The 25,405-nt window shown below is 41.8% G+C and overlaps 2 protein-coding genes across 4 annotated transcripts in view, besides 8 other annotated features; one reads left to right on the forward strand and one right to left on the reverse strand.

Moving 5' to 3' along the window:
- Positions 7,895-8,155: a silencer, noted in NCBI's record as "fragment chr9:78992236-78992496 (GRCh37/hg19 assembly coordinates)". NCBI's record gives its function as "represses an EF-1alpha promoter that drives an FKBP-Casp9 reporter gene in an ReSE screen in HepG2 liver carcinoma cells {active_cell/tissue: HepG2}" and the evidence as "EXISTENCE:reporter gene assay evidence [ECO:0000049][PMID:32094911]".
- Positions 16,101-25,001, reverse strand: RFK (riboflavin kinase). Its single transcript, NM_018339.6, has 4 exons — positions 24,665-25,001; positions 22,993-23,144; positions 19,129-19,231; positions 16,101-18,104 (listed from the first exon to the last, which is right to left on the reverse strand). The coding sequence occupies exons 1-4, from the start codon at positions 24,744-24,746 to the stop codon at positions 17,974-17,976; spliced, it is 468 nt and encodes a 155-aa protein (NP_060809.3). The 5' UTR covers positions 24,747-25,001; the 3' UTR covers positions 16,101-17,973.
- Positions 19,628-19,922: a silencer, noted in NCBI's record as "tiled region #15545; K562 Repressive non-DNase unmatched - State 15:Elon". NCBI's record gives its function as "represses a minimal TATA promoter and a strong SV40 promoter by Sharpr-MPRA in K562 cells {active_cell/tissue: K562}" and the evidence as "EXISTENCE:reporter gene assay evidence [ECO:0000049][PMID:27701403]".
- Positions 24,272-25,085: an enhancer, noted in NCBI's record as "H3K27ac-H3K4me1 hESC enhancer chr9:79008613-79009426 (GRCh37/hg19 assembly coordinates)". NCBI's record gives its function as "activates a minimal SCP1, AML or CMV promoter by ChIP-STARR-seq in naive and primed H9 embryonic stem cells {active_cell/tissue: H9 hESC(naive and primed)}" and the evidence as "EXISTENCE:reporter gene assay evidence [ECO:0000049][PMID:30033119]".
- Positions 24,272-25,242: a biological region, named in NCBI's record as "Sharpr-MPRA regulatory region 10".
- The window catches only part of GCNT1 (glucosaminyl (N-acetyl) transferase 1), a 113,548-nt gene continuing 112,586 nt past the window's right edge, over positions 24,444-25,405 (forward strand). For all 3 annotated transcript variants that reach the window (NM_001407181.1, NM_001407182.1, NM_001407183.1), the window contains exon 1: positions 24,444-24,995. The gene's annotated coding sequence lies outside the window, so the exon portion shown is untranslated. The remainder of the gene's footprint in view (positions 24,996-25,405) is intronic.
- Positions 24,450-24,939: a silencer, noted in NCBI's record as "silent region_19957". NCBI's record gives its function as "represses an Ori minimal core promoter by ATAC-STARR-seq in GM12878 lymphoblastoid cells {active_cell/tissue: GM12878}" and the evidence as "EXISTENCE:reporter gene assay evidence [ECO:0000049][PMID:35858748]".
- Positions 24,948-25,242: an enhancer, noted in NCBI's record as "tiled region #10; HepG2 Activating DNase unmatched - State 1:Tss, and K562 Activating non-DNase unmatched - State 1:Tss". NCBI's record gives its function as "activates a minimal TATA promoter and a strong SV40 promoter by Sharpr-MPRA in HepG2 and K562 cells {active_cell/tissue: HepG2 | K562}" and the evidence as "EXISTENCE:reporter gene assay evidence [ECO:0000049][PMID:27701403]".
- Positions 24,980-25,059: a silencer, noted in NCBI's record as "silent region_19958". NCBI's record gives its function as "represses an Ori minimal core promoter by ATAC-STARR-seq in GM12878 lymphoblastoid cells {active_cell/tissue: GM12878}" and the evidence as "EXISTENCE:reporter gene assay evidence [ECO:0000049][PMID:35858748]".
- Positions 25,080-25,139: a silencer, noted in NCBI's record as "silent region_19959". NCBI's record gives its function as "represses an Ori minimal core promoter by ATAC-STARR-seq in GM12878 lymphoblastoid cells {active_cell/tissue: GM12878}" and the evidence as "EXISTENCE:reporter gene assay evidence [ECO:0000049][PMID:35858748]".

Below are 25,405 nucleotides of genomic sequence, written 5' to 3' on the forward strand. Positions count from 1 at the left end.
TCTCAAACTCCTGACCTCAGGTGATCCCCCCGCCTCGGCCTCCCAAAGTGCTGGGATTAAGGCGTGAGCCACTGTGCCCGGCCTTATTTCCCATTGCTGCACTTAAAAATCACCACAATTTAGCTACTTTAAACAACACTCATTTGTTATCTCAAAGTCAGAAGACCAGGTGGGCTCCCCTGGGTTTTTGGCTTAGGTCTACTCCAGGGCGAAATCAAGGTGTTAGCCAGGCTGGCCTCTTATTGAAGGCTCCGGAGGTGAGTTGTTTTCCAAGGTATTCAGGCAGCTGGCAGATTGTTTCTGGCAGTTAGAGGACTGAGGTTTCTTTTCTGGCTGTCAGCCAGGGGTCACTTTCTGGTTTTACGCTTGGCTCCCTCCTCTTCAAAGCCTGCAACTGTGCTTAGAATCCTTTTCATAAGCTGAATCTTTCTGACTTTGCTTCCACCACCAGCTGGAGATAACTCTGTGTGATTAGATTAGACCCACCTGGATCATTTCCCTTTGGCTGTAACAGTCACAGGCATGACACTTCATCATATTCAGTCCCGGGTTTTAGGGTGGGGAAGCTTAGGGGCCTACCACAGCAATAAAACTCCTTTGGAAATCAATTTAGCAAAATCAAAAGTCTTTTAAGTGTTTGTTCTATTTGAATTCACCAGTTCCACATTAAAAAATATTATAAGCAGAACCAGAGCTTTCACACACAAAATGTTCATTTTTGTATATAAAACTACTTCATAACATGTTAAAAGTAAGTTTATAAAGACTATACAAAATATGCTATTATAGTTACATATAATAAGCAAGATATAAAAGTTTATTATGTACACAACCATTTCCACTGTATTTTTGCAATTAAAAAAAATAAAGCCCTATGTTGATTATGCTAGCTAAACCGTAGAAAGCAAAGATAAGCAAGACATATGATCTGCCCTCAAAGAGCTTAGTAATTAGGTGGAAAAACATATATGTGTACAAACAGCCACAATATGAGAGAGAATGTGAGCATTGCAATAATTCAGAGGGTGGGGGGAAACAAAACATTGGAACACAAAGAAAGGGAAGGTTAGGAAAAGCTAATTTATTCACATGCAGGCTCTTTTGGAAGAAATGTTGAGAAAAGTGTTTAGGAGAATAAAAGGATCTTCAGAGCTTAGTAACTATAGACGTCAAGTCTCTAACTTGACTTTCCTGTGGTCTATACAATGGCAAGCACTTTTCAAGTGATCTTGAAATCACAGGTCAATTTCAACTCAACATGATAAAGGACTTTAATCCCTGAGCCAACCCAACCTCCTTGAAGTTGGCAGAGGCAAGGCAAAAGTAATAAGTAATGTCATCAATGGACCCTATTTTCTCTTCCCACCTAATTTTCCTTTTCTTGTGATAGTTTTCCGAGGAACCAATGACCCTAAGAAGTGGGAAAGTTCCACCAGCATCCAAAGACATTGGCTCAGTGCCAGCTAAACAAACTATACCCACACTTCGATTTCAATAATTACATCCCATTCTGTTCAAACATAGACTATTCCTAAGTATAAAGCTCTTCTCTTTTTTAAATCTCAGTGGTCTTTCAGCTCAGCTTTGTTTTAAAAAAAATCAAAGAAAAGGCCAGGCAAGGTGGCTCACACCTGTAATCCCAGCACTTTGGGAGGCCAAGGTGGGTGGGTCATTTGAGGTCAGGAGTTCAAGATCAGCCTGGCCAATATGGTGAAACCCCATGTCTACTAAAAATACGAAAATTAGCTGAATGTGGCAGTGCACGCCTGTATTCCCAGCTACTCAGGAGGCTGAGGCATAAGAATCACTTGAACCTGGGAGGTGGAGGTTACAGAGAGCCAAGATTGCACCACTGCACTCCAGCCTGGGTGACAGAAGGAGACTCCATTTCAAAAAAAGAAAAAAAGGAAAAAAAAAATCAAAGTAAAGGCTGGGCACAGTGTCCCACGCCTGTAATCCCAACACTTTGGGAGGCTGAGGTGGGTGGATCACTTGATGTCAGGAGTTCAAGACCAGCTGGGCCAACATGGTGAAACCCCATGTCTACTAAAAATACAAAACTTAATCAGGCGTGGTGATGCACACCTGTAATCCCAGCTACTTAGGTGGCTGAGGCATAAGAATCTCTTGAACCCAGAAACCAGAGGCTGCAGTGAGCTGAGACCTAACCACTGCATTCCAGGCTGGGCGAGGAAGTGAGACTCTGTCTTAAAAAAAAATACATATATACACACACACATACACACACACACACACACACACACACACATATATATACATATATATATATGTGTGTATATATATATATATATATATATATATATATAAAAGAAAAGACTGGGCACAGTGGCTTACGCCTGTAATCCCAGCACTTTGGGAGGCTGCGGTGGGTGGATCACTCGAGGTCAGGAGTTCAAGACCAGCCTGGCTAACATGGTCAAACCCCATGTCTACTAAAAATACAAAACTTAGCTGAGCATGGTGGTGCATGCCTGTAATCCCAGCTACTTGGGTGGCTGAGGCATAAGAATCACTTGAACCTGGAAAGCGGAGGTTGCAGTGAGCTGAGATCATACTGCTGCATTCCAGCCTAGGCAAGGAAGTGAGACTCTGTCTTAAAAACAAAAAGAGATAAACCTCAGTAGGTGATGCCATGATTAGATTTATCATTCCTATACAGTATTTATGTTTATATAGAGGGCTTGGCATAACAGAAACATCATGAGTTTGGGTGGGAGCCAAAGATTCCTAGGATGGAATTTCAGTTCTGACATTTGCTGATGTGGAATCTTGGGCAAGTTACTAAACTTCTGATTCTCTGTTACATGTGGAAAACTTGCATTCCTGACCTCCCAAGGTTGCTGTGAGGAATGAGATCCCACCATCAATACTCCTGGTATGCAGAAGGGGTTCAATAATTGTTAATTTTCCCTCACCCCTCCCATATCATTTTAGTAGCTGTGTAGCTTGTTAATAATCTTCCTTCTGTGAATCTGTTTTGACAGGATTTGTGAAGCAAGATTACATAAGAGAGAGAAAAGTAGATTTGACTTCTCTATAAACTTAATCTGGAACCAAAGACACACCCACTCAGCTCTTTTTAACAAGACCTTCCTTTTTTCCTCCAAAAAGCAATTACACTCTAATGAGTGGTTTTAAGTAACTAGATCATTAACTGGATTTTCTAACTTGATTTCTCAGCAGACAGAGAAACAAAAGGACTGCTCTTTCAGAAACCCAAAGTGATTTGCTTCTGAACCAGGAGAAAATAAAATACATTCTTGACTCAAGTCATCAAGTTTTGGTTAAAGGGCCAGAAGATCTATAAATACACTGGCCAAGTACTTGACCTCTGGTGAAATGTTTTTATCTCCCCTACAGCTTTTCCCTCTCCATAAAGCAACCATAGCTGCATCCCAGCAGGATAGTCTCTTGATAGAAATCCCATTTATACCTTGATCATCTAAAAGAATGCATGCTTCTACAATGAACCTCTCCTTTCTCTCCAAGTTGTGAAAAACTTGAATGTTCGAGTTTGGCTGCAATGCCACAGGTAATCTTAGGAGTATGCTGAGGACATTGGAAAAGGAGGGAGAACAATGATCCAGTCTTTCTTCTAGGTCAATTTTACTTTGAATGCATGGAGAAAACCCCTTAAGATGCAGGATTTGAAGAGTGCCCTGAGAAAAGAGTTGGAAAAGTGAGCATATCTGCACCACAGAGGTGAAAAGTCATGAAGGCATCCTTCTTTGTCTCATTCTGTCCTCAAATGGCTGTGAGTTAGGGACAAAGTTGCAATAGATTGTGTTCCCGCAGGGAAATTCAGCCAGCCAGTGCCTTGCCAAAAGCAGCAGCAGCCTGGACTTTAGACTTCAGATCAGAACCGTAGTTGTGCAACTGGGGCAGGCAGAGTCAAGAGATTAGGTCAGACAACCAGGTGGAAGCAAATCAGAAACCACAGACTGGGTGTTGCCGGGTTGTCAAAAGGTTGTATTTGGTCTGGATTTGAGAGTCTAGGTCTCAGGCCAACAAGCTTATAAAGGTGGCTTAAACCCTGTTTTCAGTATTGATCTGTTGCTTTAAAAAACAAAAAGGGACACAGAAACCAAATCAAACTGCTAATCAAGAAGTGATGAGTCAAAGGCAGAATCCTTGACAAAGGAGTTCTCAGCTGGACTCTATGATGTATATCCCTGGGCTGTGAGCAACCATGAGGGATCTTTGTGACTGATGCTCTAAGTTGCTCCAAGAACAATGTCTCTCTCTTCCTTGGCTTGTGATTGGAATTTTTATTCCGCATGATCCCTTTGGCTAAACTCCACACTGAGTCCTTTATTGACTTTGTAACTTCCTTTGCAGCACAGCTGTGTAACATCTGGATAATTTTTTGTCCTGTTTTTCTGCTGATTTTCACTTTTAAAGAGATGTTTGCCTATCAAATCAATTTAATCTCCTATAGATGGGTTTCTGATTACCTTAAATAGACTTGTCTCCTGACATTTGTTCGTGAGGGTTAAAGATTATGCACATGAAAGTCTGTCATAAACTATAAGTTGCTACACCAATGTAATTATTTCCTTGTTCACCTGTTATCTGTCCTAGGTAGGCATGCGCCACTTATACTGCAGAAACTGGGAGAAATCAAACAATATTCTCAGACCAACCATCTGGATTTGGCTTCTCAGAAAACGAATGAAGTCAATTGGTAGTGGCAACATAATTTGTGGTGTCCAGTGTAAAAATATTACAAATTTCAAGATGGCAGCAGCAGCACATGGGACCCATATAAGCACCAGGCCCTGGTCAGGCATGGTGGTGCACACCTGTAGTCCCAACATTCTGGGAGGCTGAGGTGGGCGGATCCCTTGAGCTCAGGAGTTCAAGACCAGCCTGGGCAACATGGTGAAATCCCGTCTCTACAAAAACTACAAAAATTAACTGGATGGGATGGTGGGCACCTGTAGCCCCAGCTATTTGTGAGGCTGAGGTGGGAGGATCCTTTGAGCCCAGGAGGTCAAGGCTGCAGTGAGTCGAGATTGTGCCACTGCACTCCAGCCTAGGTGACAAAGTGAGACCCTGTCTCAAAAACTAAAAATAAGCATGAGGCCCTGTGTTGTTGATTGGCCACAGGGCACACCCACAGAGCTGACCCTGATATTCAATATACTCACAGCACTGATCAGCTTGCAAAATGCATCAGCTACTGCATCTACCTCCACCCACAAGTGGATCAAAGAATTTAGATACCAAACTCACCCTGCCTGACCTCCCTGGGCTGTGGTAGCTTTGAGGGGAGGAGAACAGCTCTTTAAGATCTACAAATCATGTAAGCACTGAGGAAGATGGCTTGATATGGAAGGGGAAGAATTTCAGACATGAAAAGCTTAATTAAAAGCAAGCTGGTCTTCAAGTCCAGGATATCTTCATTCCCATTTCAGCTCCACGTGACACTGGCCAACTCATTTGACATAATATATACGGGTATGCATTGTGCGTTATAAACGTGTAAACGCACATGACAATTAAGTGTCAATTTTTACTGTTGCCCTTTCTAATGGTAGTTCTTGGCCCTTTTAGGAGACGCGCCCACATTCTGACCCTGGGCCGCACTAGTGTTGTCACTCTACAGCCTACAGCTCTATACTCTTTCCAAAGCAAGGTTAGGGATGGCTTTATTGTCCCAAATCACAAATCACCCTTTTTTTTTTTCCATTTCTTCTCTGGTTCTTACTCCCTCTGTGCTAAAAAAAACAAAAACAAAAACAAAAACAAAACCACCCTGTCAATTGGTTAATTTCCCATGCAACCTGCTTGGAAGTCTGCAATGCTTTGAACAGCAGGGTGTGGGAGGAAGTGTTGGCCCTACTCACCCTGCCTGACCTCCCTGGGCTGTGACGTCAGAGCTCTGTTTACATAGCTGAGGGACTGGGAATGCTGGAGTGGAGGAAGGAGGTGATGAATGATTCAGGAGGACACACAACATCCCTGCTTTTCTTTCCTGCTGGCTTCTCAGCTGCTCCAAGCAGCAAAGAGAGAAGAAATCGTAAGATTCTGCTCTGTCATTTGGAGCCATCTGTTTCCTTTCTTTTTCCTTCCCTAGAAACTTTTTTCAATAAACAGTATAAAGGAGACACCAGAGGATGTCTACAAGAGCAAATTCATCTTTCTTCAAATGTAGACTTTTGGAAACCTTTGGCATTTACAGAAAAAGTCTCCGATGCTGCTGTTCTTTCCTCCACATCTCAAATGTACTAGAAAAGATGACATGCTTTGGAAGGCCAAGGTGGGCAGATCACCTGAGGTCGGGAGTTTGAGACCAGCCTGACCAACGTGGAGAAACCCCGTCTCTACTAAAAATACAAAAAATTAGGCGGGCGTGGTGGTGTGTGCCTGTAATCCCAGCTACTCGGGAGGCTGAGGCAGGAGAATTGCTTGAACCGGGGAGACGGAGGTTGTGGTGAGCTGAGATCGCACCATTGCACTCCAGCTTGGGCAACAAGAGATAAACTCCATCTCAAAAAAGAAAAGAAAAGAAAAGATGACATGATAAGAGGCTCCCTTATTTACTGCATCTGGCTGAGGTAAAGAGAGCTAATGATTCCTTCCAACAAAATGCACTCAATATATATTTTCTAGAGGCCAGGTGTGGTGGCTCACACCTGTAATCCCAGCACTTTGGGAGACTGAGCTGGGAGGATTGCTTGAGTCCAGGCATTCGAAACCAGCTGAGTAACATAGGGAGATCCCATCTTTACAAAAAAATTAAAAACTAGCTAAGCATGGTGGTGCACACCTGTGGTCCCAGCTACTTGGGAGGCTGAGGTGGGAGGATCGCTTGAGTTCAGGAGTTGGAGGCTGTAGTGAGCTACAATCCCACCACTGCACTCCAGTCTGGGTGACAGAGCAAGACCTTGTCTCTTAAACAAACAAACAAACAAACATCTATTCCCTAGGGACCTACAATATGCCAGGCACCACATGGGGGTGATGAAGATAAAGTCAAATAAATTGGAATTTCTTTTGGAGACTGTATGTTCTTCAAGGTCAGGGATATTATTTTATTCCACTCTGTACCCCTAGCACATAGCAGAATGCCAGCATACAATAGCTACTCCATAAATATTTAAGGAGTATGTATTTGCTCACAGAAATCATTGTCTTGACCTGAACAAAACTGGACTGTGCACATAATTTAGGGAAGAATTTACTGTGTCTTTAAAATCACATTGTTATCTTTGGCCATGATAAAAAAAAATCTCCAGCACCACAAAAACAATTGGCATTTGTGAAGCACATACTGTTTTTTAGGTACCATTAGAAGCACTTTGCATGGATCAGATAGTTTCATCCTTTTAATCATCCTAACAACCCTATGAGGTAGGCACTATTGTTATCCGGGTTTTATGGATAAGACACTAAACCACAAAGAGGTAAAATAACTTGCCTGGCTCCAGAGGCCTTGATCTTGATCTCCCGTATTGCAGCTGCCTAATCCCTCCAAAACCAAGCACAGGGAGAACAAATTAAAACAGGAACTTTTCACTTTTTTGGACCACATTCACAGTAAAAAATAAAATTTACACCAACACTTATTTATAAAACTGAAGCAAAAGTTTCAGGAAACAATATTTATCCAACCAATATATTTTCCAATGCTTTCTAGTTTATTATTATTTTTTAAAAGATGACCAAAATCCACTAATTTGATCTCACAGTATATAGTTTGAGAAACTCTAGATTAGGGAAGAGAACCCAACCCTACGTGGCTGACTCTCAGCTTGCTGTGATGAAAACATATTCTCTTTCTGAACTTTCCCTTTTGGGGCAATTCAATTGCAATGTCTGTAGTATGCCCAATGCCTCCTTTAGCAGACTGCCTCCAAGAAGCATTTCAGACCCTGAGCTTCTGGAAGTCTTTCATCTGTCCCTCTTCTGGGTCACTTTACCTCTCCAGGCTGCCATCTTGAATGGAATCTTCTGCAAATATGACTCCAGTCATATCTGCAGACCTGGTCCATGGGAAGCATGCATCTTTGTCCACCCTCAACCCCCTACAGAGAGGATGAAAGTGCTGCCTTCTCTCTTCCTGCTGTGTTCTCTTGCCAATCCAGCCACAACTTCTCATACAATTCTTATGTCCCACCTCCTAAGCTAGGGGGACACAAGTCAAGCTCCCTGATTGATACTTAAAGGGGATATAGGCGGAGCACACTGATATCTCCAAAGGAATTCTTCCCCCCTCCCCTCTTCAACTCCACTCCCTTATAAATTGAAATTAGTTATGGGCAGAAAGGGTTTCACAATCTTTTAGCATGACCTGGATTTTCTAGGACTTGGAATGTGTATCAATTTGCATCTATCACGAAGATTTTACCCTGGGCAGCCTCTTCCAAAAGTATGAAGAAATGAAGGGCTCCTTATTTGCATCATCTTACAGATGGGTAGGCATAAGTGGAGGGAATGGGAAGAAATGAGCCAAGGCTTGGAATCTGGATAAGCAATCAGAGTTTGGGGATTACTAGGGAACATGAGCTTGCTATGGAGAGTCCAGGTGTGGTAAAACTCTACAGGGAACAAAAGATAGCTATGAGTCAAAGGAATAACAACAGGTAGGCCAAGAAGCTTGCCAGGGGCTTAGATTTAAGCTTATTCTCTCCTGACATTAGTTGACTATTCTGGTCCAGTCTGTGTTCTGGATCCTTGTTACATCCCAATTCCTCCAGGCTCAGAGACTTTGTTCCTGTCCACAGTGTATCAAGTTGATTAGGGCTTATGTGTCTATGAAGTTTCTGCCTTTTTGCTGCCTCTGCTAAAAGGTTGATCTCCAACTTTGCTAACTTTATCCTGGTGCCTGAAACAATCCAGCTAGCAGCGGCAAGAGCCAAGCAAAGGATGAACTGACATGTCCTACAGAAGCTGTACTGGTGGGCCTGCAGATCGTCCTCACTTACCCTCCAGCATCCACAGCTCACAGGGACCCGAGTCCCAGATGTTCACAACTCCAGGGCATGGCAGCTAAGCCTGATTCTACTAAGATTATGTCCCTCTGAATCTAAGCTGAAGACTAAGATTTGACGCTTAGCTCTGAGGTATATTGGCTACACCGTTTGAGTTGGTCTCAGTTTATCTTTGACTTTCAGTTTCTTCTGAAGTGCAGTAACAGTGACATCTAGCTAGATGGTTCAGATGTATTGTGATGAACAATGAAGTGATATAAAGAAAAGCACGTTGAAATTCTTGCTGCTACAACTGCTGAAATTTACCAGTTCAGTAGATGAAATGGAGAAAATATACTCTCTCACCTGTTGAATCTCTACAGTGAAACATGGGGACCTAATTTTTTTTTCTGGTTTTCTTTTTTTTCTTTTTCTTTTTTGAGACAGAGTCATACTCTGTCACCCAGTCTGCAGTCTGGAATGCAATGATGCAATTATGGCTCATTGCAGCCTCTACCTCCTAGACTGAAGCTATCCTCCCACCTCAGCCTCTGGAGTAGCTGGGACCACAGGCACACACCGCCACACCCAGCTAATTTTTGTATTTTTTGTGGAGACAGGGCTTCACCATGTTGCCCAGGCTGTCCTTGAACTCCAGGATCAAGTGATCCTCCCACCTCTGCCTCCCAAAATGCTGGGACTATAGGCGAGAACCACCATGCTGGCCTCATTTTTCTTTTTTAAAAATTTTTTTTCTTTTGAATGTTCAATGTGCATCCAGTTATCTCTGCTTATCTTTTAAAATGTTACAAAGAACGAGGTATCTTCAATGTAGTTAAGCTGTTGCAATAACAAAGCAAGACTGTCTAAAAAGGAAAACTGTCTAAAAAGGAAGAAAATAAACTTTCCAAAAGAGCAAAGAATCCAAGGTAACATTGCCTTCCATCTTCTAAAATTTCAAAAACATACTCAAACCAAGTCCACAGAAAATAGTAGAGAACCGAATAAATCAGCTGGTCAGATGAAGGGCCAGGGGAAAAGTCTGGTTTTGAAATATGCTGGGAAGCTCAGAATCTTAAGTTTTGTTGATTTCAGGAGATAAAATGTAAAATAAAACAAAAACTTCATTTGACAGAAATTCTGTACTAGATGAGGAGCCATTAATAAATTTGAAATATCCTCAAATCAGTAAGCAAAACAACTCCCTGGGCAACCCCAGAAAATATTTTGAAGGCTCAGAAAGACCTAAAGGGCCTCTGAAATGAGCCTGAAATTCCCATGACTGACTTGTGGTTAGCAGCTGGTATATGTTTACTTGGAGCCAAGCAGAACACACACCTGGGAATCCGCTCAGTGCCCTAGAGGTGGTGACTCCTAGGATTGACATGGACTGCTTCCAGAAAAGTGCTTGAGGCGCTGCCTATTATGTGTATGTTGTTGATGTGAAAATAGAGAATGTGAACCATGAGGGAGGAGGAAGGAAGTGTAAATAATCAAACCAAGCAGAAGTTACCTAGTACTTCTTAGCATTGGAGGCCTTTTTACGCAATGAAGTCTTCTAAGGAACCCATATATAAAACAATTAGTGTGACCTGAGTCCATGGGTGAGAATAAGTAAATGAATAAAAATAAAACAATTGAGAGTGCTGCACAAGCCAGGCGCAATGATCCAGGCCTGTGATTTCAGCTCCTTGGGAGACTGAGGCAGGAGGATCACTTGATGCCAGGAATTTGAGGCTGCAATGAGCCATGATCATGTCACTGCACTCCAGCCTGGGTGTCAGAGGAAGACCCTGACTCTTAAAAAACAACAACAACAAAAAGTGCTGAGCACAGTGGCACGTACGTGTAGTCCCAGCTACTGGGAAGGCTAAGGCGCGAGGATCCCTTGAGCCCAGGAGTTCTAGGCTGCAGTGAGCTATGATCACGCCACTGCACACCAGTATGGGCAACAGAGCGAGATCCCATCTCTAAACAAATTTAAAACAAACGAACAAATGAAAAATATTGCTGTCTTAAGGTTGGGAAGGGGCAGAGACCCCTTTGCTTGCTCATCACCAAGACACTTCTGTGAGGCCCCAGGGCTCTTTGGAGAACGTTTTGAAAATCACGGTTCTAAGTAATTATAGTTACTGTGACTGAACTAATTTAGCCCTAAGCTTCCTACAATCAAGATAGAGATACACTATGGACTGCATTTCTCCGCTTCAGATTAAAAAAAAAAAGTTTAGTCAGAATGTAGTTATATTTTCAGGTAAAATGCTCAATACATTTTCAGATGAAGCTGCTCAAAATTAAAGCAGTGAGTCCAAGTGTTAATCTGAAAAAAAAAGTACAATTTACTATCTCCTGTTTCCAGACTTATAGACCCTCATAGTTGCATTGTCTAATACAGTGGCCACTAGACACATGTGGCATTTACAGTATTTATTGATGAAGTGCTCTATAAGTATTTATTGATGCAAGTAAAGAAATGCTCTATAGAGTATGTGTGTGGGTTTTTTTCCACATTAATAGTTGGGCTCATTAAATTTAGAAGTACTTTACCTAAAAAGATGTCTAAAAACCTAATGAAAACATACTGGGCATGAAATTTGCAAATACAATATCCTGTTTAAAAATAAGTTGGCCGTGCACGGTGGTTTACGCCTGTAATCCCAACACTTTTGGAGGCCGAGGCAGGTGGATCCCCTGAGGTCGGGAGTTTGAGACCAGCCTGGCTAACATGGTGAAACCCCGTCTCTACTACAAATACAAAAATTAGACAGGTGTGGTGGCAGGTGCCTGTAATCCCATCTATTCAGGAAGCTGAGGCAGAAGAATTGCTTGAACCCGGGAGGCAGAGGTTGCAGTGAGCCGAGATTGCGCCATTGCATTCCAGCCTGGGCAACACAGCGAGACTCCGTCTTAAAAAAAAAAAAAAGTTCACCCTGGTTGCTAAGAGAGTAGATTTTAAGTGTTCTGCCCACAAATAAATGAGGTTAAAAAAGCATTCGATCTTTTGCTACTAAGTAAAAGAATATACAATATGGAAGATGTAAAGAAAAAAGTTCATCCCATGTTTCCCAACTTTCTGAACACTCTAGAAATACATAATTAACTTTTTTTTTTTTTGAGACTCTGTCACCTAGGCTGGAGTGCAGTAGCACAATCTTGACTCACTGCAACCTCCACCTCCCAGATTCAAGCGATTCTCATGCCTCAGCCTCTAAAGTAACTGGGATTACAGGCATGCACCACCATGCCTGGCTAATTTTCGTATTTTTAGTAGAGGCAGTGGTTTCGCCATGCTGGCCAAGCTGGTCTTGAACTCCTGGCCTCAAGTGATCCGCTGCCTCGGCCTCCCAAAGTACTAGGATTACAGATATGTGAGCCACTGTGCCTGGCCCATAATTAACTTTTTAAAGGCTAATTTTTCTTTTCATCAAGATAAACCTGCATGTAGTTTGAAGAATCAAATTGTTCTACAAGTTGTATTAAGAAAAAGAAACATTAACCTGTCATTAACATCACATCACATTTCCCATTTCTTAAAAGCAACCGACTTCAACCCTTTCAGCTATTTAAGATCTATCTCCCTAACTGTGAGATGCTTAGATTGCTGCTTGTTTCCAGGCTAGGCATCTATCTACTCATTCCCACTAACGCAAGATGAGCAGTTCTTCTCCAGATCCCTCCCTTCTGTTGCCACCCCTGCATACTTCCCATTTCCTCCTCCTCCAGTTAATATACATAACATTTTGTTACATAAAAATTCAGTGCTATAATTCTATGACCATGTAAATGATAGTCATACCTGAGCTATACAGAACTTTTTTTTTTTTTTGAGATGGACTCTCACTCTGTCACCCAGGCTGGAGTGCAGTGGCACCATCTCAGCCAGGTTCAATTCCCCTGCTTCAGCCTCTTGAGTTGTTGGGATTACAGACGCCCGCCACCACACTCGACTAATTTTTATTTTATTTATTTATTTATTTATTTATTTAATTTATTTATTTTTGAGAGGGAGTCTTGCTCTGTCACCCAGGCTGGAGTGCAGTGGCGCGATCTTGGCTCACTGCAAGCTCCGCCTCGTGGGTTCACGCCATTCTCCCGCCTCAGCCTCCCGAGCAGTTGGGACTACAGGCGCCCACCACCATGCCCAGCTAATTTTTTTTTTTTTTTTTTTTGTATTTTTAGTAGAGACGGGGTTTCACCATGTTAGCCAGGATGGTCTCGATCTCTTGACCTCGTGATCCGCCCACCTCGGCCTCCCAAAATGCTGGGATTACAGACGTGAGCCACTGCGCCTGGCTAATTTTTGTATTTTTAGTAGAGACAGAGTTTCACCATGTTGGCCAGGCTGGTCTTGAACTCCTGACCTCATGTGATCCACCCACCTCAGCCTCCCAAAGTGCTAGGATTACAGATGTAAGCCACGGCGCCCGGCCTACATAGAACATTGTTATTTGTCTGTACACAAGGATAAAGCTTGATGAGTTTTCAAAGTGAGCACACTAGGCAACCATTGCCCCAGTCTAGAAATAGGAGAGTAAAACAAGTTCCCAACACCCTTATGATCCTCCTGTCAACCCCATCCTAAAGAATCAACCTGACCTTTATTGCTGTAGATCAGTGGTCCCCAACCTTTTTGGCACCAAGGACCAGTTTCCTGGAAGACAATTTTTTCATGGATGGGTCGTGGGGATGGTTTCCAGATGACATTCTTCCACTTCATTGGATTATTATAAGGAGTGAGCAACCTAGATCCCTCGCATGCATAGTTCACAACAGGCTTCACTCTCCTGGGAATCTAATGCCCCCGCTGATGTGACAGGAGGCGGAGCTCAGGTGGTGTATTAATCCATTCTCACACTGCTATAAAGAACTGCCTGAGACTGGGAAATTTATAAAGGAAAGAGGTTTAATTGACTCAGTTCCACATGGCTGGTGGCTTCCCCCATGATTCCCCTGTTCTCTTCCTTGACACGTGAGGATTATGGGGATTATAATTCAAGATGAGATTTGGGTGGGGACACAAAGCCTAACCAGATCAGGTGGTAATGCTCACTCGCCAGCGGCTTACCTCCTGCTATATGGCCCAGTTCCTAATGTACTAATCCGTGGCCACGGTACCAATCCATGGTCTGGGGTTGGGGACCCCAGCTGTAGATGATTTTTGCCTGTTCTTGAAATTTATACACATACGTGTTTTTGTGAGGTGTCTGGTTTCTTTTACTGTTCTTTTTCTAGCTTTTTGAGATGAAAGCTTAGATCATGACTCATCTTCAATCTTCTTTGTCTAATAGTATTTAAAACTATAAATCTTTTAAGTGTTAGCTGCATTCTACAAATGTTTGTCACATATTATCATTCATTACAAAATAGCTTTACATTGTGACATTTTTGTATTTTTATGCCTAATTTCTTTCTCCATTGCATTGTGTTCAGAATGTTCTTTGTAGCAGTCCTTAGACATTTGCTGATACTTTTACATATCGCAGACAATAGCTGCAATTGAAATCATCACTTGATTAGCTGATAATAGTCATTCTCCAAGATTTAGCAAATTTCTGTGCAGGCTAAACAGATATAATAGCAGCCTCTATCCTCAAACTTTCAGCTTTTTTTTTTTTTTTTTTTTTTTTTTTTTGAGACAGGGTCTCCCTTTGTTGTCCAAACTGGAGTGCAGTGGCTATTCATGGGCATGATTAGAGCATACTGCAGTCTTGAACTCAGGAGCTCAAGCTATTCTCCCAGCTCAGTTTACCGAATAGCTGGAACCATAGGCCCACCACACCACACCCAGCTAATCTTTCAGGATTTTTGATGATGACCTCTCCAATTTTCCTGGAGATGTAGCATTGTTGTGGTTTACTATCCTGGCTTCTACTTGGCACTTGTAATGGTCAGGGAAGCTAAGTGGAAATTCTGTCAATAGTCAAGTATGTCTATCTCAAATATACACGTGGGAACAAAAAATAAGCACAGGGTAGGTCCAGGGACTTACTGAGCTGCCTGAGAAATGACAACCTGGGGTTCAAATTCCATTTATGACCTGACCTAAAAGGAAGCCAATTGTCAAAGAAATGTAGAGTCACAGCGACATCAGAGTATCAATGGTGAATTTGGAGCTGACAGCACAGTCACAGACTTAAGTCTCATAGTTCACCAATTCTCTTGTTGTTTAATATGTATTTAACCCATCCATTGACTTTTTAATTTCAATTTTTCTTTATAACTATATATTTCGGACAATTCTCAATTATCTGCCCAATTTTTACTTTACTTTAAATGTTAATAGAGACAGGATCTTACTATGTTGCCCAGGCTGGAGTGCAGTGGCTACTTACAAGTACCCATAACAGCACACTACAGCCTTGAATTTCTGGCCTCAAGTAATCCTCCTGCTTCAGCCTCCCAAATAGCTAGGATTATAGGCACATGCCACAGCACCCAGCTGCCCAATTTTTATACAACACCTTGCCATTTTACCATTTTTGTTACTCTTTTACTTCATTACACATATTAAACAGTCATTTCAAATTCTATATCTGATAACCCTGGATCTGCCATCTCTGTAGAGCTTATTTTACAATTTGTTTCTGGCATCTTTTTTGGCAGAATAGGTTAGTTTCTTGGCTCCATCTCTGAAGACCAGACTTCCACTTCCATCTCCCAATCAGAATCATGTTTCATGGTAAGCTCTAACTGCAGGCTGTAAGCCTCCATAGTTGAGGAAGATGAGAGTTCTGGGGATGACTGTTCAAAGAGTACCAGCATGCAACAGAGAAAGGCAAACGAGTTCTAAGTTGCTGCTTATGGGGTTGGTGGCAAAAGACAAGAAGGTTACAGAACTCTGTTTTGGGGCAGGAGTTATGCAAGGGAACCCAGACCTATCTATACTCTTCTGGCTCTTCTATCTCCAAAATGTAACAGGAACCCTTACTCTCAGGAAGTGGACTTTAGTAGTGATGCCCTGTGATTGCTCTCCAAATAAACCTCAGTCACTGTGTTGCAGGCATAAAACACAGGGGATCCTGAAGGCAAGGCCCTTTGTTGTAGAACTACAGCTGCCACCTATATCTTGCTCTTCAGGCAACTTCACACACTTAAGAGTAGCAATCAGCCAACAAATTCGAAATACATAAAGTAAGATTCAAGCTGACACAGGGAAAGAAAAAATATCACTTAGTCAAAATTTATTTCAAGGCCTGAAAACATTCAGACTAATCAAAATGGTACTACTGTAACTTCTTATAATACATAATATAAAAGTTTTTGAAAGATATAGACACAATTAACCCCTAAACAACACACTATCTGATTCTCAAAAGCAATGGCTATTTAACAAGATGTAAAAGGACAATAACATATCAAAGAACTTTCACACACCTAAAGATAGCATTTAGCAGCAAGTTAGTCAGACAAAACAAACACAAATATTTTCACATTTCCTATGTTTGTTTTTAACTTTACTTCATAAAGCCACTGATAATTGAGGTTTCTTTCAAGTATAAGATTTCTAAAATTAAAAACTGTTTTTGACATATTTTTATAAAGAAATAAAAAGCAAAACGCAATCCAACTATTTATATGAGTCCCTCTTCTCCAACAGCTTTAGATGTTTTTCTGAGTACTTTTTACACAGAATATTTTTATTAAAATCAGTTCTAATTCATTTATGCAGATTAGGGGAAAATGATTCATAATAAATTAACTTTAAAATTACCTTCTATCTGCTTCTACCTCTATCCCCCCATCACCACCAAATCTGTTGCTACAGTGAACTGTAGCAATGTACTGTTTGAGGGGGCCCAAAGCATCTGTAATCTTAATTTCCCACATATTAGTTAGTAGGAGGAAAAATCCACAGTATGAAGGCTATTTAACTAAAACTTTATGCTTTTCCCTCAAGCTGTAAGTACTCTTTAGCATTAAATTACATCGTGCATATACAACTACACCCATTTAGATTTGCCTTGGAATATAATTTCAAGGCCTTAAATATTAAAAATAATTTTATAACTATTTCATAGTTTAATTGGCTCTTAAATAGTTTTGCTAGGGAGGAAACATTTTGTGTTCTTTAAGAAATTGATATGTGTAAATGTGTTCACTTAAATCTTGAGAAAACCTAAGGATGAAGTCTGTTGTTTTGTTTTTCCTAAAAAAGGAAAAAAGAACCAAAGAAAAATGTTGAAGAACAAGAATATTTACCATTAAAAAGAAGAAACATTATCCAACAAAAAGGAGACATATAGATTTGAAAACACTTATTTTACTGTCTTCAACAACAACAACAAACAGATAGGCAGGGGAAGTCCAGAGGACTCAGAATTGAAGCAGCTCTATACAATAATGAAGGTGGTACAATGATGTGACTGCAAAGAAAATGACTAAAACAAAACTTTACAAACATCTTCATGTTTGTAATGTATTAATGCACAAAATATCAAAAATAGAAAGTCTGAGTTTCTTCCCCGCAGGTTTATGATAAACTATCAACCTTCTATTTAATGCATTTCCTTTTTTTTTATTTATAGAGATGGAGTCTCGCTATGTTGCCCAGGCTGGTCTTGAACTCATGAGCTCAAGCAATCCTCCCACCTCGGCCTCCCAAAGTGCTGGGATTACCGGTGTGAGCCACTGCACTTGGCCTTAATGCATTTACTTTTATAAGCCTTCTCTGTTTAGAAGTACACACTACACAAGTACATACATGCTGGCATTTTACCATGAAAATTTTAGTTTTCATCTCAAACTAGTGACTTGCCTTTTTACCCATACTTATACACATGTAATACCTTTCTAGTGGTACATTTTAATCAATATATATTTTTTAAATCTTATTTTTAACTCAATCTTTTTAGTGCTATGATATGATGGGCTTAATTTAATAGTTGAAGCATGATATGATAACAACATTGTACGGTTTAAACTAATTCACAACTGTAGTAAAGTGTTTGATTTTCAGTATATAACCAAGATGATGCTGAACAGTAATAAACACAGAAACACTAGAAAACAGTGAATGAATAAATAATACAATTTTTCATCAGTGGCCATTCATTATTTTGCTTTTAGAAACCTGGAAGAAATTGTCTTCTTTGATTTTCAAATGTTCTGGTAACTCTAGTCGTTTCTTAGCTTCTTCAATATCACCTTGAATTGCTGAAATAAGTGACTCTGCAGAGAGAATATACCAGGTAAAAATGATGAAAAACCATTAACATACTTTTTACTACTACTCTGTTTAGCCAATCCTAAAAACTCACAGGCTGGCAGTATCTCTGCACAGGGTAGATACCCAATAAATGTTTGTTCCATCACTCCTTCCAGGCCTAAGTCAATGGTACACAAAAGATATGTCCCTAGGCCGGGGGCAGTGGCTCATGCCTGTAATCCCAGCACTTTGGGAAGCTGAGGCGGGCAGATCACCTGAAGTCCGGAGTTCGAGACCAGCCTGGCCAGCATGGTGAAACCTGACTCTACTAAAACTACAAAAATTAGCGGGGTGTGATGGTGGGTGCCTGTAATCCCAGCTACTCAGGAAGCTGAGGCAGGAGAATCGCTTGAACCTGGGAGGTGGAGGTTGCGGTGAGAGGGGGCGTCACTGCACTCCAGCCTGGGTAACAAAGAGCAAAACTCTGTCTCAAACAAACAAACAAACAAAGGTATGTCCCTAATCTTATATTTTAAGAGAAAGGCATAGGCATAAATGTACACTGCAAATATCAAATGGAGGAAAAAAGCATTCACTATTATTTTTGGTTGGTATTTACACTTGTAAAAGAAACTTTATAACAGAGTTAAAACTATCACACTACACTAATACATACCTGGTAACATGTTTCAAATGTTCTCTGATTTACTATATCTCAAACTTCACACATTTTGAAAGATTTCATTAACTTCATACCGCTGGAGAGAAGCAGCCAGCCTGCTAGGTTCAAAGCTAGACTCCGTTATTTACTATGTGACTTTGAGAATGTTACTTAATCTCTCTGTGCCATTTCCTCATCTGAGAAATAGGCAAAATAATCCCTCACAGGTGAAAGAAGATAGATTCACGTAAAGCACTTAAAACGGTGCCTGGCATATATTAAATGCTCAAATATTATCTGTCCTGCCATCATTATTACTGGTAGTAGTGGTAGAGTTACCTGTGGTAGCAGTAGTAGTATTTAAGAAGATCAAAATAAGAACTTACCTAAAGAATCAAAGTTCTTTTCTGGTCTCAGGTAGCCAACAATGGCCACATTGAGGATTTCCCCATAGAAGTCCTCTTTGAAGGTATGCATGATATGTGTTTCCTATAGTCAAGAAATGTTACAAAGAGTGCTATCAGACTACAGTGTACTGAAATCTGAAATACATCTTCATGTTTATGGTGAGTTAATTTAAATGAAACAATCAACACTCCTTAAACTTTTAAAGATTCAGGTTAAAATCTAAGTGCAGTTTTTCCTAAATTTTCCCAGCACTCCTGTTTGGATCTTATAAACCTAACTGAGTGAGGTGACAGTGTCTGGCATGATTTGCTGTTACTTAAAAACAAACAAACAAACAATAACAAAAAAACTGACACGTATCCAAGGAAGTAAGTATCTTATCAAGGTGAGAAAACAGGACACCAAAGAGGGAATGAGCAAAGTATTAAAAGATGTTACTACTAAACAACTAGTTGTTAAGGTCAGTCAGCATTTGCACACGTCTGACACACAACATGTATGGAAACTTCAGAGTTTGGCAGAGCTGAGGACTGAAGGGGCAGGAGAGCCAATGCAGCTTCCTGATCAGGGAGTAAAGTGGCAAAAGGGTACACAGCACATTAAAGCAAAATGCCGCATGACGTAGAAAGTGCCTCAGAATCTAGTTCAGCTAAATCATCTGGGCAGTACTGTGGTTAAGAGGTTAAGAGCACTGACTTAGAGTCAAAAGTCTGGGTTCCCACACTTGGTTAACTGTATAACTAGCTTCCGCGGGGCTCAGTTTTCTCGTCTGTAATGGGTGGGGGGCGGCTTGAGTTAGAAGATACATAAAGTGCCCCATGACTTTGGGGCTATGAACCAATATATTCTTTCTTTTCAGTAAACATTTGAATAATAAAAAAGAAACTAAGATATGTAAGACTGGTTGGGTGCAGTAGTTCATGCCTGTAATCCCAGCACTTTGGGAGGCGGAGCCAGGAGGATCACTTGAGGTCAAGAGTTCAAGACCAGCTTGGCCAACATGGTGGAACCCGGTACTCTACTAAAAACACAAAAATTAGCTGGGCATGGTGGCGCATGCCTATAGTCCCAGCTACTCAGGAGGCTGAGGCAGGAGAATTGCTCAAACCCAGGAGGCGGAGGTTGCAGTGAGCCAAGATCACACCACTGCACTCCAGCACTCTAGCCTTGGCGACAGAGCGAAGACTCCATCTCAAAAAAAAATTTAAAAATAATTTTAAAAAATATGTAAGACCCTGACACTGACAATTACAAGACATTATTGAGAGAAATGGCAAACTTCCCAAAGTAATCTACGAATTCAATGCTGCCCCAATCAAAATCCTAGCAGGTTTTTTAAAATAGGAGAAACTGACAAGTGATTCTAAAATTTATATGGAAAAACCAAAATTATTCATGAAAATCTTGAGAACAAAACTAGAGGGCTTATACAACTAGGTATCAAGACCTATGATAAGACAAGCAAACCAAGTATGTATGTGAATTTTTGGACTCACACACATATAAGGTCACTTGATTTATGTCCCAGGTGACACTACAGCACTGTTGTGAAAGCATGGTATTTTCAATGAATAGGCTGGGTCAATTCTACATCCATATGGAAAAAAATATTAATTTAAATCCCTATCAGATACCATACTAAAAAAGTCAATTTGAAGATATGTCAGTCAATTAAACTTTTAGAAAAAAACCACAGACAAGTATCTTCATGACTTTGGAGTAGTCAAAGATTTCTGAAACAGATTATATAAAGCACTAACTATAAAAAAAATATTGAACTGGATTGTATTAAAATTAAGAACCTCTGGGCTGGGTGCCATGCTCATGCCTGTAATCCTGGCACTTTGGGAGGCTGAGGCAGGAGGACTGCTTGAGCCCAAAAGTTTGAGACCAGTCTGTGTAACATGCTGAAATCTCATCTCTATAAAAAAATTTAAAAATAGCCAAGCATGGTGGCACATGCCTGTGGTCCTAGCTACTCGGGAGGCTGTGATGGGAGGATCACTTCAGCCCAGAAAGTTGAGGCTGCAGTGAGCTGAGATTGCACCACTGCACTGCAGCCTGGGTGACAGAGCAAGACCCTATCTGAAAATACAAAACAAAACAAAACTCTGTTCTTCAACACACCATTGAGAAAAAAAAAAAAAAAACCACACACACACACACAATGAAAGAAATTTGTAATACAACAATACACAGTTCCAACAAAGGAAGTGGATCTAGATGTGTTACTAAGAACTTATTTAAGGTCAGTAAGATAACGCTTTTTTTTTTTTTAAAGGACAAAGGTCTGGCACAGGCACTTCACAGATGTGTGTTACTGGCAAAGGCAAGCAAAAGTTCAATTTTCCACTGGTAAGATATGCCTATGTTTCAAATTCAATTTTTCCTAACACTCAAAAGGCATTCCTTAACTGGCTGTATAATAACATTTTTGTTATCTAAGTAGCTAAAGACAAATTAGTTATGGGCTATTGTCCCCTCCCCTTCTTTTCCTTCCTCATTCAACAGAATGGTATTTTGTGATCTTTCGATTGTTTTCCTTGTCTCCAAAAAATAATTTTCAAATCATTAATACTGAAAAATAACTGAAATACTGAGCAAAATGTTAAGTACTTCTGCGTCATTACTATTGCTTACGCCAGCATTTAGCTCTGTAGTTTTCCAGCAGTGACACACTTCACTTCTATTAACTCCACACAGAACAAAATTTAGCTTCACTGTAATTTGTTTTTGCCACACATTTGAGCTGACAAAAGATTCAGCCAAATCTAACAGATAAAACACTGAAGTTGTGGGGTCCTGTAAAGAGTAGGGCAGAAAAGTATACCCTCAGGTGGTTTAAAAAGGAAAGAGAAAAGCACCAATGTGGGACTGTATCAATAAGCACCATCCTCCATCCACCATCCATGTAGTAAACTGTTTTATCTTAAGAGGGTGACCAAGCGCAATTGATGCATGAAGTAAATGGTGAATGAAGTGCATTAATTGTGGCAAGCTCAATTTTATGAAACAGGCTTTTAAATCATTTTTATCTTTGGTCAAGTGAGTCTTTCACAGACAGCAATTATCAAAGTCAGTATTATAATTTTGGTTTGTAACTCCACTCTTTATTTTCTACATAATTTAAAAAATAAATGCATAAAAAAACCAATTATTAATCTTTGTTATTGGGTACCACAATGTATAAGGATGTAATCTGAGCCAGATGCAGGCAGTGGCATGTACCTATAGTCCCAGCTCTCTGGAGGCTGGAGGAGGATTACTTGAGCCCATGAGTTTGAAGCTACAGTGTGCTACAACCTGGCCTGTGAACAGCTACTGCACTTCAGTCTGGGCAACATAGTGAGACCCCATCTTTAAAAAAAAAAAAAAAGATGCAATTTCTGAGTTCTGTATGCTATTGAAATTAAGTTGGTATAAACTCAAATTAAACTTTTAGAATTTCAGGATGTTAAATATAAACCCCATGGTAACCACAAAGACAGTATCTATAGAAATACACAGAAAGCAATGAGAAAGGAATTAAAATGTCACTACAAAACAAAACAAAACAAAAAGCACACTACCACAAAAGGCAGTAATAGAGGAAATGAGGGACATAAAAGTTATAAGGCATATAAAAAACAAATAGCAAAACAGTAGATGTCCCTCCTTATCAGAAATTACTTTAAATGTAAATGAATTAAACTCTCCAATTAAAAGACAGAGATTGCCCAAAATTCCAGTATTTGAACTACGTTGTGATTACCACTGATAAGCTATTTCTGTAACGAATACTGTAATATATTATTCTAAGTCATCATACCATTTTCGGTTACAGAGCAAAATATAATGCTTACCATAGACTTCTTCGTATTCTTGTAATATGGGTTCCATCCTATGCTCACCACCATCTTATGGACATCTCCACTTCCAACACTGGCCCAACCATAGTAAATACCAGTGGATATATCAGCTGGAAGATTATCTACCACTTGCTCAGGAAAATTAGCTAAACAACAGAAGAAAATATTTTGAGTCTTACAAATTTCGTATTAAATGCCTGTAGCCGAGTGCAGTGGCTCATGTCTGTAATTCTAGGACTTTGAGAGGCCAAGGCAGGAGGCTCATGTTGAGCTCTGGGGTTTGAGACCGGCCCGGGTAACATAGTGAGATCTTACCTCTATTAAAAAATTAGCTGGGGATGGTGGCCTGCACCTATAGTCTAAGCTACCAGAGAGGCTGAGGCAGGAGGGTCAGTTGAGCCCAGCAGATGGAGGCTGCAGTAAGCTATGATCGCACTACCACTGCACTCCAGCCTGAGTGGCAGAGCCAGATTCTGTCTCAAAATAATAATAAGAAACAAACATTTGTAAAAATCACATGCAAGGCTAATGTAAATCATTACATTCACAAGACTCCTACAACTTTGCCTGTAAGTATCAATCCCATCCTTCCATTTTCCGGCTCAGATTTCCCTCTCCTATTCATGTGAATAGGTTATGAATAAAGTACCAGGTAAGTATATAAAGCTCTCCAAAAAAATCCATACTCTTTGAGTAGGATGCAAAAAACAAGTACCAGAGTAGATGGATTTTTTCAGATCTGTTCTTTCCTAACCAGGTACTGAATCACCTGAAAAGTTTCTTTCTTTTTTTTTTTTTTTTGAGACGGTGTCTCACTCTGTCGCCCAGGCTGGAGGGCAGTGGCACGATCTCGCCTCACTGCAGCCTCCGTCTCCTGGGTTCAAGCGATTCTCCTGCCTCAGGTTCCCGAGTAGCTGGGATGACAGGCACGCGCCACCATGCCCAGCTAATTTTTGTATTTTTAGCAGAGACGGGGTTTTACCATGTTGGCCAGGCTGATCTCGAACTCCTGAGCTCAGATGATCCGCCCGCCTCGGCCTCCCAAAGTGCTGGGATTACAGGCGTGAGCCACCACGCCCGGCCAAAGCTTCTTATTTTTCAAATACACAAGCTCAAGGCTGACTTAACAAGTCAAGACGCAGCTCTGGCATGTATTTCTAAGGATGAATTACAGTCAGGTCTCGATTATTGAAATTAATGTAGACAGACCAAGAAGGTTAGCTGACTCTCATTCAACTACCTATGTTATCATTTGGACATTACATAATTACAAATTAAAAACAAAACCACCTTAGACCCGGCTTGCGAGTTCAGCCGTTCTGGCCCACGTTACGTCTCTAATGGGCAAGACAAGCGCAATGCTTGACCAACTGTACCTTGGCTGGCCAAGGAGGCGTGAACGGGGAATCCTGCGATTCATCTCGGGCTTCCGGCCCTCACCACCCCTCAACCCCGTCCCCGCGGAGCTCGGAGCCAGAAGCAGGGACAAGCTCCCTCAACCGAGCCAACGGTCCTCCGCCACAGACAAGGGGATGCGGGAGGAGGAAGGGTGTGCTCTCTGCCCGCGGTCCGGAGGCCCCACGCCCCGGTCCCAAGTCCCCGGCTGCCGTCTCTCCCCGCTCCCCACGTGACCCGGCCCGGGGGACTCTGGCCGCCCTGCTCTCACCTGTGGGGATGCCCAGCTGCTTGGAGCCGCGGCCGAAGCCCCGCACCACTTGACCCCGGCAGAAGTAAGGCAGGTGCCTCATAATGCAGTCCGCTCGGGGAATGGGCTGCGGCCCGGTCTGCGCGTCCTGCGGAGCCGCCGTCGACGCGGCGCCCAGACCCCGGACCAGCCGGGGGACAGGAGCGTGAGCTCTGCCTGCCGCGGGGGCGCACCAGTGGCCGGACGACGCCGACCACAGGCCACTGCGAATCCCTGACGCCGCCGACCCAACAAATACCGCCGGGCGCCTGAGGAGCTGCGTCTCCGCTGGAGGGCAGCGGAGACAGCCGAAGTAAGTGCCGGGTGTGAGCGGGGTGGGGGGAGGGGGCGGCCCGAAGCGCAGAGCCGGCCTCCGCGCCGCCGGCGTGCGCTCCCTTCCTCAGCCGAACGCCTCGAGCCCGCTCGGCTTCCGTAGCCCCGCCCCATCATGGCCCCGCCCCGCCGCTGCCTCGCCCGGCTCCCGCCGCAAGCTCCCGCTGCAGGCTCCCGCCCCAGGCGCCTAATGTCTGGATCCCGGGCTTCGTTTCAGCCCCTGGCGATGGGAACTAATGTGGAAACCCCGTTTTCAGCCTGAGAGCCGCGAAAGCACAATTCTCGAACAATTCTGGTTTTTTTTTCTCCTTCCTCCTGTTCATAACAATCCGGAAGCCAAAGTGAGACGCTCTTTAGCTCCTTGGCAACCGCTGGGTTGAACGTCAGGCA

The sequence above is a fragment of the Homo sapiens genome, chromosome 9 (genome assembly GCF_000001405.40).
Source record: "Homo sapiens chromosome 9, GRCh38.p14 Primary Assembly".
In the NCBI taxonomy this organism is placed as follows: Eukaryota; Metazoa; Chordata; class Mammalia; order Primates; family Hominidae; genus Homo; species Homo sapiens.

Bases quoted from the DNA above. Each gene is read 5' to 3' on its own strand.
- RFK (NM_018339.6), bottom strand. From the start codon at position 24,746: ATGAGGCACCTGCCTTACTTCTGCCGGGGTCAAGTGGTGCGGGGCTTC. The intron at 23,145-24,664 runs GTGAGAGCAGGG...TCTGTTGTTTAG, and splicing joins GCAGCTGGGCATCCCCACAG to CTAATTTTCCTGAGCAAGTG. The intron at 18,105-19,128 runs GTAAGTTCTTAT...TTCTCTCTGCAG, and splicing joins AAAGAACTTTGATTCTTTAG to AGTCACTTATTTCAGCAATT.